The 18589-nt window shown below is 52.4% G+C and overlaps 1 pseudogene, besides 1 other annotated feature; it reads left to right on the forward strand.

Moving 5' to 3' along the window:
* Positions 1102-1962: an enhancer, noted in NCBI's record as "H3K27ac hESC enhancer chr19:46150807-46151667 (GRCh37/hg19 assembly coordinates)". NCBI's record gives its function as "activates a minimal SCP1, AML or CMV promoter by ChIP-STARR-seq in naive H9 embryonic stem cells {active_cell/tissue: H9 hESC(naive)}" and the evidence as "EXISTENCE:reporter gene assay evidence [ECO:0000049][PMID:30033119]".
* Positions 5063-5358, forward strand: RN7SL836P (RNA, 7SL, cytoplasmic 836, pseudogene; annotated as a pseudogene).

Genomic DNA, 18589 nt, shown 5'->3' on the forward strand with positions numbered 1-18589 from the left:
TTGGAAGCAGATTGACCTGGGTTTGAATCCTGACTCCTCCACTTTCTGGTTTCGTGACCCTAAAGCTCCACTTCCTCATCTGGAAAGTGGGGGCTCATAATCGCGCCTGCCTCATTCATTCATTCAAAAATGTTTACTGAGTGCCTAACGGGCCAGGCTCTGTTCTAGGTGCTGAAGTTTTCGGAATGACCAAGTGAACCTGTTTCCTCTCATGTATTGTTCATTTAATGGAAGAGGTAAACAATCATACACAAAATAAATAACAATACCTAACGTTTAATCAGCAGTCACTATGGGCAAAGCACTCAGTTATCCTCACCAAAAGCCCTATTTTGTTGTTGTTGTTGTTGTTGTTTGCTTGTTTGTTTTCGAGACGGAGTCTCTCTCTGTCGCCCAGGATGTAGTACAGTGGCACAATCTCAACTCACTGCAACCTCCGCCTCCTGGGTTCAAGCGATTCTCCTGCCTCAGCCTTCAGAGTAGCTGGGACTACAGGCGCACGCCACCACGCCCAGCTAATTTTTGTATTTTTAGTAGAGATGGGGTTTCACCATGTTGGCCAGGATGGTCTCGATCTCTTGACCTCATGATCCTCCCGCCTCGTCTTCCCAAAGTGCTGGGATTACAGGCGTGAGCCACCGCGCCCGGCCTATTTTTTTATATTTTAAAAATATTTTGTGGAGAATTGCTTGAGCCTGGGAGGCGGAGGTTGCAGTGAGCCAAGATCGTGCCACTGTACTCCAGTCTGGGCAACAGAGCTGGAGAGCAGAGGCGCGATCTTGGCTCACTGCAATCTCCGCCTCCTGGGTTCAAGCGATTCTCCTGCCTCAGCCTCCCGAGTACCTAGGACTACAGGTGCCTGCCACCACTTCCAGCTAATTTTTGTATTTTTAGTAGAGACGGGGTTTCACCATGTTGGCCAGGCTGGTTTCAAACTTCTGACCTTGTGATCCGCCCGCCTCGACCTCTCAAAGTGCTGGGATACTTTTTCCTTTTTTTTTTTTCTTCTTAAGAAACTGGGTCTCCCACTGTTGCTCAAGCTGGAGTGCAGTAACATGATTATAGCTCTCTCCCTCTCCCTCTCCCTCTCCCTCTCCCTCCTCTCCCTCCTCTCCCTCCTCTCCCTCTCTTTCCACGGTCTCCCTCTGATGCAGAGCTGAAGCTGGACTGTACTGCTGCCATCTCGGCTCACTGCAACCTCCCTGCCTGATTCTCCTGCCTCAGCCTGCCGAGTGCCTGCGATTGCAGGCGCACGCCGCCACGCCTGACTGGTTTTCGTATTTTTTTGGTGGAGACGGGGTTTTGCTGTGTTGGCCGGGCTGGTCTCCAGCTCCTAGCCACGAGTGATCCACCAGCCTCGGCTTCCCGAGGTGCCGGGATTGCAGACGGAGTCTCGTTCACTCAGTGCTCAATGGTGCCCAGGCTGGAATGCAGTGGCGTGATCTCGGCTCGCTACAACTTCCACCTCCCAGCCGCCTGCCTTGGCCTCCCAAAGTGCCGAGATTGCAGCCTCTGCCCAGCCGCCACCCCATCTGGGAAGTGAGGAGCGCCTCTTCCCGGCCGCCATCCCATCTAGGAAGTGAGGAGCGTCTCTGCCCGGCCGCCCATCGTCTGAGATGTGGGGAGCGCCTCTGCCCTGCCGCCCCGTCTGGGATGTGAGGAGCGTCTCTGCCCGGCCGCCCCGTCTGAGAAGTGAGGAGCCCCTCCGCCCAGCAGCCGCACCGTCTGAGAAGTGAGGAGTCCCTCCGCCCGGCAGCCACCCCGTCTGGGAAGTGAGGAGCGTCTCCGCCAGGCCAGCCGCCCCGTCTGGGAGGGAGGTGGGAGTCAGCCCCCCGCCCGGCCAGCCGCCCCGTCCGGGAGGGAGGTGGGGGGGTCAGCCCCCCGCCCGGCCAGCCGCCCCGTCCGGGAGGGAGGTGGGGGGGTCAGCCCCCCGCCCGGCCAGCCGCCCCGTCCAGGAGGTGAGGGGCGCCTCTGCCCGGCTGCCCCTACTGGGAAGTGAGGAGCCCCTCTGCCTGGCCAGCCGCACCGTCTGGGAGGGAGGTGGGGGTCAGCCCCCCGCCCGGCCAGCCGCCCCGTCCGGGAGGGAGGTGGGGGGGTCAGCCCCCCGCCCGGCCAGCCGCCCCGTCCGGGAGGGAGGTGGGGGGGTCAGCCCCCCGCCCGGCCAGCCGCCCCGTCCAGGAGGTGAGGGGCGCCTCTGCCCGGCTGCCCCTACTGGGAAGTGAGGAGCCCCTCTGCCCGGCCACCACCCCGTCTGGGAGGTGTACCAAACAGCTCATTGAGAACGGGCCATGATGACAATGGCGGTTTTGTGGAATAGAAAGGGGGGAAAGGTGGGGAAAAGATTGAGAAATCGGATGGTTGCCGTGTCTGTGTAGAAAGAGGTAGACATGGGAGACTTTTCATTTTGTTCTGTACTAAGAAAAATTCTTCTTCCTTGGGATCCTGTTGATCTGTGACCTTGCCCCCAACCCTGTGCTCTCTGAAACATGTGCTGTGTCCACTCAGGGTTGAATGGATTAAGGGTGGTGCAAGATGTGCTTTGTTAAACAGATGCTTGAAGGCAGCATGCTCCTTAAGAGTCATCACCACTCCCTAATCTCAAGTACCCAGGGACACAAACACTGCGGAAGGCCGCAGGGTCCTCTGCCTAGGAAAACCAGAGACCTCTGTTCACTTGTTTATCTGCTGACCTTCCCTCCACTATTGTCCTGTGACCCTGCCAAATCCCCCTCTGCGAGAAACACCCAAGAATGATCAATTAAAAAAAAAAAAGAAAAAAAAATATTTTGTACAGAGGAGCTCTTGCTATATTGCCAAAGCTGGTCTCAAACTCCTGGCCTCAAGTGATCCTTCGGCCTGGGCCTGTCAAAGTGCCGGAATAATAGATGTGTCTCACTCACTCTTGCCCTGGCTGTAATGCAGTGGCATGATCTTGGCTCACTGCAACCTCCACCTCCCAGATTCAAGCGATTCTCGTGCCTCAGCCTCCCCAGCAGCTGGGATTACAAGTGTGCACCACCATGCCTGGCTAATTTTTGTATTTTTAGTAGACACAGGGTTTCACCATAATGGCCAAGCTGGTCTCTAACTCCTGACCTAAAGTGATCCTCCCGTCTCAGCCTCCCAAAATGTTAGGATTACAGGTGTGAGCCAACCGCACCCAGTAAAAGTTCAATTTTAATCACCATTTTAGAGATGATGATACAGAAACAGTGTGGCAGTGACTCAACCTGTTAATCCCCAGCACTTTCAAAGGCCAAAGAAGGGGGATTGTAGGGGTGCGAGATCAGCCTGGGCAACAAAGCAAGACCCCGTGGCTACAAAACAAAATTTCTTTCTTTTTTTTTTTTTCTTTTGAGATAGAGTCTTGCTCTTGTCGCCCAGGCTGGAGTGCAACGGCACGATCTTGGCTCACTGCAATCTCCGCTTCCCAGGTTCAAGCAATTCTCCAGCCTTAGCCTCCCATGTAGCTGTGATTACAGGCACCCACCACCACGCCCGGCTAATTTTTTTGTATTTTTATTTTTATTTATTTATTTTTGAGATGAAGTCTCGCTCTGTTGCCCAGGCTGGAGTGCAGTGGCATGATCTCAACTCACGACAACCTCCGCCTCCCGGGCTCAAGCAATTCTCCTGCCTCAGCCTCCCAAGTAGCTGGGACTACAGGCTCGCGCCACAATGCCTGGCTAATTTTTGTATTTTTAGTAGAGACGAGGGTTCACTATGTTGGCCACGCTGGTCTGGAACTCCTGACCTCATGATCCGCCCACACCGGCCTCCCAAAGTGCTGGGATTACAGGTGTGGGCCATCGCACCCGGCCAAAACAAAATTTTTCATCCTCCTGACATGGTGGTGCACGCCTGTAGTTCCAGCTACTTGGAAGGCTGAGGTGGGAGGATCACTTGAACCCAGGAGGTCGAGACTGCAGCAAGCTATGATCATGCCACTGCACTCCAGCCTGGGCAACAGAGCAAGAAGGTGTACAGACAGGATAATATAGTAAAAAAAGGGAGCAGGAGGCTCATTTAGAGACCCTAGATCCAGGGCAGTTACCTCTGAGGAAATGACATTTGAGCTGACATGTGAAAAATAAGAAGGGTTGGGCACGGTGGCTCATGCCTGTAATCCCAGCAGTTTGGGAGGCCGAGGCAGGCAGATCACCTGAGGTCAGGAGTTCGAGACCAGCCTGGCCAACACGGTGAAACCTTGTTTCTACTAAAAATACAAAAATTAGCTAGGCATAGTGGCATGCACTTGTAATCCCAGCTACTTGGGAGGCTGTGGCAGGAGAATTGCTTGAACCAGGGAGGTGAAGGTTGCAGTGAGCAGAGACCACACCATTGCACTCCAGCCTGGGTGACAGAATGAGACTTCATCTCACAAAAAAAGAAAGAACAAAAAAAAAAAAAAAAAGAAAGAAAGAAAAAGAAAAACAAGAAGGAAGCAGTTATGCCTGGAGTTGGGAGGCAGGGGATTTCTAGGCAGAGGAAACAGCAAGTGCAAAAGTCCCGAGGTTGGTTTGAGTTTAGCATATTCCTGGGGCAACCAGAAGGTTGATGACGATGAAGCTGTGGAGAGATAGGGGAAGGGGGGGATGCGAGGCCAGGGAGGCTATGGGCCTTCCATATCTTGCAGGGCCTCAAAGGCTGGGGGAAGACTTTGGCAGTTTGTCACTGTATCCTCCACAAGCCACAGTGAGGCCACAGATATAAATTATATATGAGTGGCCAGGCCACGCCTGTAATCCCAGCATTTTGGGAGGCCGAGGTGGGTGGATCACTTGAGGTCAGGAGTTCCAGACCAGCCTGGCCAATATGGCGAAACCCTATCTCTACTAAAAATACAAAAATTAGCCAGGCATAGTGGAGCATGCCTGTAATCCCAGCTATTCAGAAGGCTGAGACAGGAGAATTGCTTGAACCCTGGAGGCAGAGGTTGCACTGAGCCAAGATGGTGCCCCTGGACTCCAGCCTGGGCGACAGAGCAACACTCTGTCTCAAAAAAGAAAAAAAAATTATACGTGAGTACAATGCCTAGCACACAATGAGGCATCAATGATGGGCCGGGCACAGTGGCATGTGTTTGTAGTCCCAGCTACTTGAGAGGCTAAGGTGGGAGGATCTGTTGAGCTCACGAGTTTGGGCTGTAGTCCACTATGGCAATTAGGTGTCTGCACTCAGTTCAGCATTAATACGGTACCCCTTGGAGTGGGGGACCACCAGTTGCTTAAGGAGGGGTGAACTGGCCCAGGTCAGAAAGGGAATAGGGCAAAACTCCCATGCTGATCAGTAGTGGGATCCCGCCTGTGAATAGCCACTGCACTCCAGTCTGGGCAACATGGCGAGAACCTATCTCATAAAAAGTAAAAAACAGGGGCTGGGTGCAGTGGCTCATGCCTGTAATCCTAACACTTTGGGAGGCTGAGGCAGGTGGATCACGAGGTCAGGAGATCAAGACCAGCCTGGCCAACATAGTGAAAACCCATCCTAAAAATACAAAAAATTAGCAGGGCGTGGTGGTATGTGCCTGTAATCCCAGCTACTCAGGAGGCAGAGGCAGAAGAATCGCTTGAACCAGGGAGGTGGAGGTTGCAGTGAGTGGAGATTGCGCCACTGCACTCCAGCCTGGGCGACAGAGCAAGACATCATCTAAAAAAAACAAAAAAACAAAAGTAATAAATAGGACTGGGTATGGTGGCTCACATCTATACTTTCAGCACTTTGGGAGGCCTAAGCCCAGAAGGATCACTTGAGGCCAGGAATTTGAGACCAGCCTAGGCAATATAGCGAGAGCTCCTCTCTACAAAATATTTAAAAATTAGCTGGGCTTACTTTTTTTTTTTTTTTTTTTTTTTTTTTTTGAGATGGAGTTTTGCTCTTGTTGCCCAGGCTGGAGTGCAATGGTGCAATCTCTGCTCACTGCAATCTCCACCTCCTGGGTCCAAGCGATTCACCTGCCTCAGCCTCCCAAGTAGCTGGGATTACAGGCACGTGCAACCATGCTCGGCTAATTTTTGTATTTTTAGTAGAGACGGGGGTTTTACTATGTTGGCCAGGCTGCTCTCGAACTGCTGACCTCAGGTGGTCCACCCACCTTGGCCTCTCAAAGTGCTGGGATTATAAGCGTGAGCCACCGTGCCTGGCCAGTTGGGCTTACTTCTTGTTGAACAGGTCTAAAAAAAGAAAAATAGGCAGGCATGGTAGCTCATGCATGTAGCTCCAGTTACTTGGGAGGCTGAGGCTGGAGGATCACTTGAGCCCAGGAGTTCGAGGCTGTTGTGAGCTAGGATGGCACCACTGCACTCCATTCTGGGTGGCATAGTGAAACCCCATCTTTTTTTTTGAGACGGAGTCTCGCTCTGTCTCCGAGGCTGGAGTGCAGTGGCGCGATCTCGGCTCACTACAAGCTCCGCCTCCCGGGTTCCCGCCATTCTCCTGCCTCAGCCTCTCGAGTAGCTGGGACTACAGGCGCCGGCCACCGCGCCCGGCTAATTTGTTTTTTGTAGTTTTTAGTAGAGACAGGGTTTCACCGTGTTAGCCAGGATGGTCTCGATTTCCTGACCTCGTGATCCACCCGCCTCGGCCTCCCAAAGTGAGACCGAGCGCCCGGCCGTGAGACCCCCATCTCTTAAAAAATAATAAATAAATAGGCCGGGTGCGGTGGCTCACGCCTGTAATCCCAGCACTTTGGGAGGCCGAGGCGGGCAGATCACGAGGGCAGGAGATCGAGACTATCCTGGCTAACACGGTGAAATCCCGTCTTTACTAAAAAAAAAAAAAATACAAAAAATTAGCCGGGTGTGGTGGCGGGCCCTGTAGTCCCAGCTATTCGGGAGGCTGAGGCAGGAGAATGGCGTGAACCCAGGAGGCGGAGCTTGCAGTGAGCCGAGATTGCACCACTGCACTCCAGCCTGGGCGATACAGCGAGACTCTGTCTCAAATAAATAAATAAATAAATAAATAAATAAATAAATAAATAAAATAAACAAATAAAAAATCAATGATGGGTTCAAAGTGATGACCAAAATAGCCGTGGGTCCTTATCCTCCCACGATCACCGCTAATTGTGTTACTGGTAGAAACAACGCGGGAGGTTTTCTGCCGCCCAAATCACCACTAATTGTGTTACTGATAGAAACAACGCAGGAGGTTTTCTGCCGCCCAAATCACGCTTCTCCCACCCGCCAATCCTCTTGAGCTCAGATTCTAGGAGAGGGGAAGTCAGACACCCAGATACAGAATTCTGAAGCAGGCTGCAAAGTGTTAAGGGCTGTTACTGGGGTGTCCCGAGAGGACCGTGGAGGCCCAGGGGAATTCAGATCCATGGGCTCCATATGGTGCGGGAGGAGGAGGGAGGAGAGCCAGGCACAGGGATTTAGCTTGATGAGTTATGGGAGGTGGGAGATGACACACAAAGATGAGTCAGACCTAGTCCTTGCCCTTGAGGGGCTCCCAGCCTCAGTGCAGGGACCACTGTCAGGGTCCATGCGAGCTAAGTGATCTTGGCTTGGTTTTTCCTCCTCTGCAAAACGGGAGTCATCCCAGCCCCCACTTCCCAGGGGAGCAGAGCAGGTTGAATGGGCTCATGCTGATAAAGTGCCCAGCACAGTGGTTTGGGGGTACAGGTAACGGAGCTGGTTTGATGACAAGTGCTTTCGCAGGGAGGTGTCAAGGATGTGGGAGATAGGCGTGGGGAGAGGGCGGCTCTGTCTGAGGAGGGGGTGCGGGCAGGCAGGGCTCACAGTCTCTGTCTTTCTGCCTCCAGGTTTCCTTCTCCCTAAGGCTTTTCGCTCTCATCTCTATCTCTGTTTTTCTTCATGTTTCTGTATAGAAATTGGATTTCATCCTAGTACTTTGGGAGGCCGAGGCAGGCGGATCACCTGAGGTCAGGAGTTCGAGACCAGCCTGATCAACATGCAGAAACCCCGTCTCTACTAAAAATACAAAATTGCTGGGCGTGGTGGCTCAAGCCTGGAATCCCAGCACTTCTGGAGGCCAAGGCGGGCGGATCACAAGGTCAGGAGATCAAGACCATCCTGGCCAACACGGTGAAACACTGTCTCTATTAAAAATACAAAAAATTAGCCGGGTGTGGTGGAGGGCACCTATAGTCCCAGCTACTCGGGAGGCTGAGCAGGAGAATGGCATGAACCCGGAAGGCGGAGCTTGCAGTGAGCCGAGATTGCGCCACTGCACTCAGGAGACAGAGCGAGACCCTGTCTCAAAAAAAAAAAAAAAAAGAAAAAGACAAAAAGAAATTAGCTGGGCCTGGTGGCGCATGCCTGTAATCCCAGCTACTTGGGAGGCTGAGGCAGGAGAATTTCTTGAACCCAGGAGGCAGATGGTGAGCTGAGATCGCACCATTGCACTCCAGCCTGGGCAACAAGAGTGAGACTCTGTCTTAAAAAAAAAGAAAAGAAAAAGAAATTGGATTTCAAAGTTAACTGGCCAAGTGTGGTGGCTCATGCCTGTAATCCCAGCACTTTGGGAGGCCGAGGCAGGCAGATCACCTGAGGTCAGGAGTTTGAGACCAGCCTGGCCAACATGGTGAAACCCCGTCTCTACTAAAAATACAAAAATTAGCCTGATGTGGTGGTGGGCACCTGTAATCCTTGCTACTGGGGAGGATGAGGCAAGAGAATTGCTTGAACCCAGGAGGTGGAGGTTGTAGTAAGCCAAGATTGCACCACTGCATTCAGTGAGCCAAGATCGTGCCTATGCACGCCAGCCAGGGCAATAGAATGAGACTCCTTCTCAAAAGACAACCCGGGTCCTGATTTCAACACCTATGAGACATGTCACCCTGATCAAGTTACTTCCCTTCTCTGGGCCTCAGTTTCCCTATCCAGAAAATGGGGATAATATAACACCTCTGCTATAGGTCTGTTATGAGAAGGGACATATAGATGTGTAAAATATCCAATATGGTGGCCATTAGTATTATTATTACTGATACTAATCTCAGACTCTGTTTTTCTCTCAGCATCTCTTTTTTACATTTATTTATTTATTTATTTATTTATTTACTTGAGATGGAGTCTCACTCTGTCGTCCAGGCTGGAGTGCAGTGGTGTGATCTCGGCTCACTACAAACTCTGCCTCCCAGGTTCAAGCAATTCTCTAGCCTCAGGCTTCCCAGTACCTGGGATTACAAGCCCGCCACCACGCCCGGCTAATTTTTTGTATTTTTAGTAGAGACAGGGTTTTACCATCTTGGCCAGGCTGGTCTTAAACTCCTGACCTCATGATCCACCAGCCTCGGCCTCCCAAAGTGCTGGGATTACAGGCGTGAGCCACCGCACCTGGCTACTTTCTTTCATTCTTTCATTTTTTGTTTGTTTGTTTTTTGAGACAGAATCTCGCTCTATTGCCCAGGTTGGAGTGCAGTGGTGCAATCATGGCCCACAGCAGCCTCAACCTCTTAGGCTCAAGTGATCCTCCTGCCTCACCCTTCTGAGTATCTGGGACTACACGAACGAGCAGCCGTGCTTTGCTAATTTTTAAAAATTTTTTTTGTAGAGACAGAGTCTCACTATGTTGCCCAGGCTGGTCTCGAACTCCGGGGCTCAAGCGATCCTCCCATCCCAGCCTCCCAAAGTGCTGGGATTACAGGTGTGAGCCACCATGCCTGGCCTCTTTCTTTGTGTTTCTCTCTCTACGTCTCATTCTGTCAGCTCGTCCCCCTACTTGGGTTTATGTTTGAGCTGGGAGCTTCACAAAGCCAGAGCAAGAGCTGTCCCAGTCACCAGGGTCCCCAGCATTGCCAAGCTCATAGCCTGGCATGTAACAAACGTCCAGTAAAATGCATTGAACTCTGACCTCTGCTGAACCAATGTTGGGCAATGCTGGAGACACAGCAGTGACTGAGACAGCCCCAGTCCTGCCCTCATAGGGCACATAGTGTTGGGCACGGTGGCTCACGCCTATAATCCCAGCACTTTGGGAAACTGAGGCGGTGGATCTCTTTTTTTTTTTTTTTTTTTTTTTGAGATGGAGTTTTGCTCTTGTTGCCCAGGCTGGAGTGCAGTGGCGCGATCTCGGCTCACCACAACCTCCGCCTCCTGGGTTCAAGTGATTCTCCTGTATCAGCCTCCTGAGTAGCTGGGATTGTAGGCGCACGCCACCACACCCAGCTAATTTTTTGTATTTTTAGTAGAGACAGGGTTTCATCATCTTGGCCAGGCTGGTCTCGAACTCCTGATCTCAGGTGATCCACCCACCTCGGCCTCCCAAAGCGCTAGGATTACAGGTGTGAGCCACTGCACCCGGACTGGATCTCTCTCTCTCTTTTTTTTTTTTTTTGAGATAGAGTCTTGCACTCACTATCGCCCAGGCTGGAGTGCAGTGGTGCGATCTCGGCTCACTGCAAGCTCTGCCTCCTGGGTTCATGCCATTCTCCTGCCTCAGCCTCCCCAGCAGGTGGGACTACAGGCGCCCGCCACCACGCCCAGCTAATTTTTTCATATTTTTAGTAGAGAGAGGGTTTCACTGTGTTAGCCAGGATGGTCTCAATCTCCTGACCTCGTGATCCGCCCACCTCGGCCTCCCAAAGTGCTGGGATTACAGGCGTCAGCCACTGCGCCCAGCCAACTGGATCTCTTTTTTATGTTTTGTTTTATTTTGTTTTGAGACAGGGTCTCACTGTCACCCAGGCTGGAGTGCAGTGGCATCATCTTGGCTCACTGTAGCCTGGACCTCCGGGGCTCAAGCAATCCTCCCATCTCAGCCTCCCAACTAGCTGGGACTACAGGCATGCACCACCACGCCATTAATTTTTCGTATTTTTTGTAGAGATAGGGTTTCACGATGTTGCCCAGGCTGGTCTCCAACTCCTGGGCTCAAGCAATCCACCCACCTTGGCCTCCCAAAGTGCTGGGATTACAGCTGTGAGCTACAACTCCTAGCCAAGAGGCTTTCTTTAGGACAGGAGTTCAAGACCAGCCTGGGCAACAGAGTGAGACCCCATCTCTAAAAAAAAAATAAAAATATAGCCGAGCGTGGTGGAGGCCACCTGTAAACCCAGCCACTCAGCAGGCTGAGGCATGAGAATCGCGTGAACCCAGGAAGCAGAGGTTGCAGTAAGCCGAGATCGTGCACTCTAGCCTGGGTGACAGAGCAAAATCCCATCTCAAAAAATCATAATAATTAAACAAACAAATAAATAAATTAGCTGCACTTTGTGGCCTGTGCCTGTAGTCCTAGCTACTGGGGAGGCTGAGGTGGGAGGATCATTGAGCCCAGGAGGTCAAAGCTGCAGTGAGCCATGATTGTATCACTCCACTCCAGTCTGGACGACAGAGCAAGACGCTGCTCGAAAAAAAAAAAAAAAATAGCCTAGAGGGAAAGGCCTAGGTTTGCCTGCTCTCCCTGAGGCTTGAAAAGGGGCTTAGGGGCTTGCTGAGCACTACCAGGGAGCAATCAGGGACCCCTACAAGTTTGAATCTTTCAATTGATCCTTCCCAGGGCTGGCGGTTTACACTGGGTTTTGGAGCCGTCTCTAGGGCCCCAGCTGAGAGCCCCTCTGCTGGCCTCTGAGGCCCTGGAGCCCCCACCTCCCCCTCCCGCATGAGATTATGTCAACATAGCCCAGACGCTTCTGGCCAGGACAATATTTGCCCTCAGGATCTGGGGAGGTCGCTATGGAGATGTGCCCTCCCAGACTAGGCTGGAAGACGCCGAGGGGAGCCATGCGTCTCTGTCTCACGGAGTCTGACTTAATCCCTGTTCTCTTCTGGGATATAAGTCCCTCTCTCTGTTTTCGTCCCTCTCTGTTCCCCTCCTTTCCCTTTCCTTCCCCTCTCCTCCCCTTCCCTCTCCCTGTCTCTCTCTCCTTTTTTTTTTTTTTTTTTTTTTTTGAGATAGGGTCTCACTCTGTCACCCAGGCTGGAGTGTAGTGGCGTGACCTCCGCCTCCCGGGCTCAAGCCATCCTCCCACCTCAGCCTCCCCAGCAGCTGGGACCACAGGTGCGTGCCACCATGCCCAGCTAATATTTTTTTGTAGAGATGCAGTTTTGCCACATTGTTCAGGCTGGTCTCTAACTCCTGAGCTCAAGCGATCTGTCTGCCTCATCCTGCGATCTCGGATCAGTGCAACCTCCACCTCCCGGGTTCAAGTGATTCTCCTGTCTCAGCCTCCCGAGTAGCTGGGATTACAGGTGCCCGCCACCACACCCGGCTAATTTTTTAATTTTTAGTAGAGACGAGGTTTCACCATGTTGGCCAGGCTGGTCTCGAACTCCTGACCTCAGGTGATCCACCTGCCTCGGCCTCCCAAAGTGCTGGTATTACAGGTGTGAGCCACCACGCCCAGCCTTGTTTCTTAGGTCTTATCTCTCTGGGTGTCCTCTCTGTCCCTCTTTCTCTGGGTCCCCATCTCTGTGTTTCTGTCTCTCCGTGTCTCTGTCTCTCCTTGGGTTTCATGTCTGTGTCTCTCTTTGGGTCTCTATATTTTTTGTTTGTTTCTCCAGGCCTCTGTCTCGGGATCTCTGTCTCTTCCCATCTCTGGACTCCCCTCTCTCTGGTTCACATCCGTTTGTCTGTGTGTGCCTGGACCCACATCTCTCGCCAGGTCTCTGTCTCAGCTCTGCTGTCTCTCTCACTCTCTGTATCTCTTCTCTTTCTGTGTATGTGTGTGTCTCTGTGTATCTGTCATTCAGGCCTCATCTCTCTGCAGTCCTGAATCTCCGAGATGGAGAGGGGGCTGTCACAGCTTCCCATTCCTGGTCTCTGTCCCCACGGGGTGCCCCCTCTCCCCATCTCTCTCTGCCTCATTTCTCTGGCACCATCTGCCAGCACCCCAGGCCCCCGCCTGCTCCCCGCAGGGTCTGCTTAGCCAGGCAGCCCCATGTGGGGAGACACAGGCCTTGCAGCTTCCACCCCACCCTTGCATCCTGGACAGGGGCACTGCCTGGTCATTGCTGGAGGGCCGGGGGAGGCAGGAGTGCAGGAGACCAGAGCCAGGAGACCAGGGACCAGGGGCAATGGATAGAAACAGACGCAATCCCAGAGAGGAGATGGAAAAAGGGGAAGAGAAAGGAGAAACTTTAAAGACTGGCAAAATGAGGCTAATCCAGAGGGAGAGAGAGAGAGTGAAAGAACCCAGCAGAGAGGCAGAATGAAACATGGAAAAAGAGAAGAGAAAAGCCTTCCCAACAGACAGGAGAGGAAGACAGAGGCAAACTGAGTGTGGGCTCAGAGAAAAGGAGTAAAGAGGCAGGGCACAGTGGTGCACACCTGTAATCCCAGCACTTTGGGAGGCTGAGGCAGATGAATCACTTGAGCCCAGAAGTTCAAGACCAGCCTGGACAACATAGCGAGACACCACCTCTACAAAAAGTACAAAAATTGGCTGGGCACCATGGTTCACACCTGTAATCCCAGCACTTTGAGAGGCCAAGGCAGGTGAATCACCTGAGGCCAGGAGTTCGAGACCAGCCTGGCCAACATGGTGAAATCCCATCTCTACGAAAAATACAAAATTAGTTGGGCATGGTAGGCACATGCTGTAATCCCAGATACCTGGGAGGCTGAGGCACGAGAATCTCTTGAACCCGGGAAGTGGAGGTTGCAGTGAGCCGAGATGGCACCACTACACTCCAGCCTGGGTGACAGAGACAAACTCCATCTCAAAAAAACAAAAACAAACAAACCAAAAGGCTGGACACGTAATCCCAGCACTTTGGGAAGCCGAGGCGGGCTGATCATGAGGTCAGGAGTTTGAGACCAGCCTGGCCAACACAGTGAAACGCCGTCTCTACTAAAAAAAATACAAAGAATTAGCTAGGCATGGTGGCAGGCGCCTGTAATCCCAGCTACTTGGGAGGCTGAGGCAGGAGAATCGCTTGAACCTGGGAGGTGGAGGTTGCAGTGAGCTGAGATCGCACCAGGGAACTCCAGCCCGGGCGACAGTGTGAGACTCCGTCTCAAACAACAACAACAACAAAAATTAGCCAGGTATGGTGGCATGCGTCTGTGGTCCCAACTACTCAGGAGGCTGAGGTGGGAGGATTGCTTGAACCCAGGTAGGGGGGTCGAGGCTGCGTTAAGCTGTGATCACTCTACTGTGCTCCAGCCTAGGCAACAGAGGGAGAACCTGTCTCAAAAGAAAAGAAGAGGAGTGAGGAGATATTTGGATGAAAGAGAGAAACAAGGTAGGATGGACAGAAAGAGAGAGAGACATTGGGTCAGGGAAGGTGGGAGAGAGATGGGAGAGGCAGAGGGGTTGTAGGAGAGGTTTTGCTAAACAAGACTAGAGACGGAAAATGGAGATCCATCGGGGTGGGTGTGGAAAGGCTGGGGAATGAGGCTCCTCTGGTTCTGAGTCCCCTGTTGCGGGAGTGGGGCGTGGAACTCAGCTGTCTGGGAGGGGCTGAGTTGGGATGGTGCATGCTGTTTCTCGGCCTGAAGTTTTCAGAAGCCATGAGCAACGCAGCTGGAGGGAGCCTGTGCAGCCAGCCCCTTTGCAGACGCTGGGAGACAACAGAGGACCCCAGGAGGGCTGAGGTGGGCAGAAGACCAGGCATCTACCCACCCCTGACTCCTCATCCTGTCTTCAGAAGTCTCACTCTGATGCCCAGCGCTGTGGTGCAGTCTCAGCTCACTGCAATCTCTGCCTCCCAGGTTCAAGTGATTCTCCCACCTCAATCTCCCGAGCAGCTGGGATTACAGGCACGCGCCACTACACCCAGCTAACTTTTGTATTTTAGTAGAAATGGAGTTTCACCATGTTGGTCAGGCTGGTCTCGAACTCCTGACCTCGGTCTCCCAAAGTGCTGGGATTACAGGCGTGAGCCACGGCACCTAGCCTCTCCTCTTTTCTTTTCCCTTCCCTCCCCTCCCCTCCCCTGCCCTTCTTTTCTTTTGAGACAGGGTCTCCCTCTGTTGCCGAGGCTGGAGTATAGTGGTATGATCACAGCTCACTGCAGCCTCGACCCCCTCCCCGGGCTCAAGCAATTTTCACTCAGCCTTTCCATCTCGCAGTTTCTTTTCTGGATTTTTTTTTTTTTTTTTTTTTTTTAGATGGAGTCTTGCTCTGTCGCCCAGGCTGGAGTGCAGTGGCGCGATCTCAGCTCACTGCAAGCTCCACCTCCCGGGTTCACGCCATTCTCCTGCCTCAGCCTCCTGAGTAGCTGGGACTACAGGCGCCCGCCACCACACCCGGCTAATTTTTTGTTTTTTAGTAGAGACGGGGTTTCACCGTGTTAGCTAGGATGGTCTCGATCTCCTGACCTCGTGATCCACCCGCCTCGGCCTCCCAAAGTGTTGGGATTACAGGCGTGAGCTACCGCACCAGGCCTTTTCTGGTTATTTATTTATTTAATTTTTTGAGACGGAGTCTCGCTCTGTTGCCCAGGCTGGAGTGCAGTGGCGCGATCTCGGCTCACTGCAAGCTCTGCCTCCCGGGTTCATGCTATTCTCCTGCCTCTGCCTCCCAAGTAGCTGGGACTACAGGCGCCCACCACCATGCCTGGCTAATTTTTTGTATTTTTAGTAGAGACGGGGTTTCACCGTGTTAGCTAGGATGGTCTCGATCTCCTGACCTCATGATCCACCCGCCTCGGCCTCCCAAAGTGCTGGGATTACAGGCGTGAGCCACCGCGCCCGGCCCTGGTTATTTTTTTGAGACAGTCTGGCTCTGTCGCCCAGGCTGGAGTGCAGAGGCACGATCTCAGCTCACTGCTACCTCTGCCTCCCGGGTTCAAGCGATTCTCCTGCCTCAGCCTCCCGAGTAGCTAGGACTACAGGCGCCCACCACCACGCCCGGCTAATTTTTGTATTTTTAGTAGAGCCGGGGTTTCGTCATGTTGGCCAGGCTGGTCTCCAACTTGTGACCTCAGGTGATCCAGCCACCTCGGCCTCCCAGGGCTCTGGAATTACAGGTGTGACCCACCGCGCCTCTCTGTCTCTCTCCGGCTCAGTCCCTGTTTTCTCTTTCTTGGCTTCTCTCCCTCACCCCCTCTTATCTGTGTCTGTGTTGTCTGTTTGTCTCTGTGTGTGTTTCTCTCTGTCGCTGTCTCTCTCTGTCTCTCTCTCCCCCTCTCTCTCTCTCTCTCTCTGTTTCTTCTAGTCTCTCTCTTGTAGTCTCTCTCTCTTGGTCTTTCTCTTCTTGCTTTTTTTTTTTTTTTTTTTTTTTTTTGAGACAGAGTCTTGCTCTGTCGCCCAGGCTGGAGTTTAGTGGCACAATCTCAGTTCACTGCAACCTCCGCCTCCTAGGTTCAAGCAATTATCCTGCCTCAGTCTCCCCAACAGCTGGGATTACAGGTGTGCACCACCACACCCAGTTAATTTTTGTATTTTAGTAGAGACATGGTTTCACTATGTTGTCCAGGCTGGTCTCAAACTCTTGACCTCAGGTGATCCGCCCGCCTTGGCCTCCCAAAGTGTTGGGATTACAGGCATGAGCCACTGTGTCTGGCCTCTCTTCTTGTCTTTATCTGCCTCCCACTCTAGATCTTTCTTGGTCCTTGATTTCTTTTTTTTTTTTTTTTTTTTTTTTTTTGAGACAGGATCTCACTCTGTCACCCAGGCTGGAGTGCAGTTACGCGATCATCACAGCTCACTGCAGCCTCAATTTCCTGAGCTCAAGCAAATCCTCCTGCCTCAGCCATCCAAGTAGCTGGGACCACAGGCGCACCACCACCATGCCTGGCTAATTAAAAAAAAAAATGTTGAGAGGCCGGGCGCGGTGGCTCACGCCTGTAATCCCAGCACTTTGGAAAGCCGAGATGGGCAGATCACCTGCAGTCAGGAGTTCGAAACCAGCCATGGCTAACATGGTGAAACCCCATTTCTACTAAGAATACAAAAACTTAGCTGGGCATGGTGGTGCGCACCTGTAATCCCAGCTACTTGGGAGGCGGAGGCAGGAGAATCACTTGAACCCAGGAGGCAGATGTTGCCGTGAGCCGAGATCGTGCCATTGCACTCCAGCTTGGGCAACAAGAGCAAAACTCCATCTCAAAAAAAAAAAAAAATTGGCCAGGCGCAGTGGCTCATGCCTATAATCCCAGCACTGTGGGAGGCTGAGGCAGGCCAATCACCTGAAGTCAGGAGTTCAAGACCAGCCTGACCAATTTGGTGAAAACCCAACTCTGCTAAAAGTACAAAAAAAAAAAAATAGCCAGGCATGGTGGCAGGTGCCTGTAATCCCAGCCTCTCGGGAGGCTGAGGCAGGAGAATCACTTGAACCTGGCTCACTGCAATCTCTGCCCTAGCCTGGGCGACAGAGTGAAACTCTGTCTCAAAAAAAACAAAAATTTTGTTTTTAATTCTAGATGACGTGTTGATAGATGCAGCAAACCACCATGGCATATGCATACCTATGTAACAAACCTGTACGTTCAGCACATGTATCCCAGAACTTAAGGTAAATTTTTTTTTTTAATTGGAAAACTGAAAAAAAAAAATATTTTTTTTTTAGAGACGGGATCTGGCTATGTTGCCCAGGCTGGTCTCCAACTCCTGGGCTTAAGTGATCCTCCCATGTTGGCCTCCCAAAGTGCTGGGATTACAGGTGTAAGCCACCACACTAGGCTCTTAGCTCCTTTTCCTGTTTCACACCACCAGCTCATTTCCTCTCCACTGCTTCCCCCTCCCTGCCAGCCTCTCCCTTCCCCCTCTACAGCCTCCCCACCCCTCACTGCCTTCCTCTGTGGAGTGACCTCAGGCCCTCATTGGGGCCAAGGAGAGACTCCCTTCCAACCTAAACTTCTCCCAAGGTGCTGGGCAATCTCAGACCCCCTTCCCTCTCCACTCCAGGACAGGAGCCTTTCCCAGGACCCGGAGGGCACCAGGAATGTGGGGCAGAGAGCGGGGAGGCAGCCTAAGTCCAGGAAGCGAGAACCCTCGCCTCCCCCGAGACTTGTCTCCTTCCAGCCTCTGGTGCAGACCTCATGCCACCCCTTACTCCCTGTCCCTCCTGGGGCCTCTGGGCCTTAATTTCTCCTCTACAAAATGGGCAGACTCGCCTCTGTCCCACTTAGAGTCCCAGGGGAGTGCATGCTCACAAATGTCCATTGTATGATTAATGTGCAGGAATTGGAGTTTGTATTAACAGGAGATGAGAGCTGGGAGCTGGGACTGGGCTCTGAGCCTGTCCCCCACCCCCAGTCACGTACAGATGTTCCCCATATTTAGGGCAAAGGAACAGACTGGAAGTAGAGACAGCAGAGAATGTGTGTGATTCACTGGCGACTGTCATGATGAGACCATGTGAGGCTATGGGTTAGTGTGCAATTGTGACACGATGGTGTGTGTGACCCTGTGTGCACCTGTGTGACTGTGCGTGACTGTGGGAGGTGGGATTGCAGGGTGTGACAAGTCACTGTGACGTGCACAGCTATGGGACAGTGAGGTTGTGTGCGTGACATGTATATGACTGTATGTGACTTGTGAATATGGGTGAGACTAAGGGAGAGTTGTGAGTCTGTATGACCATGTCACTCAGTGTGACCGTGGGGGTGAGGGTGACGGTGTGAGAGTGTTTGCCTCATGACAGTTGGGGAATGTGTGTTGTTGGAATGTGACTGAGGACTCTGTGGGTGACTGTGAAGTGTGTGAGTGTGTGACGGTGTTAATGGGTGTGGTTGCA

This window comes from Homo sapiens, chromosome 19, assembly GCF_000001405.40.
Source record: "Homo sapiens chromosome 19, GRCh38.p14 Primary Assembly".
In the NCBI taxonomy this organism is placed as follows: domain Eukaryota; kingdom Metazoa; phylum Chordata; class Mammalia; order Primates; family Hominidae; genus Homo; species Homo sapiens.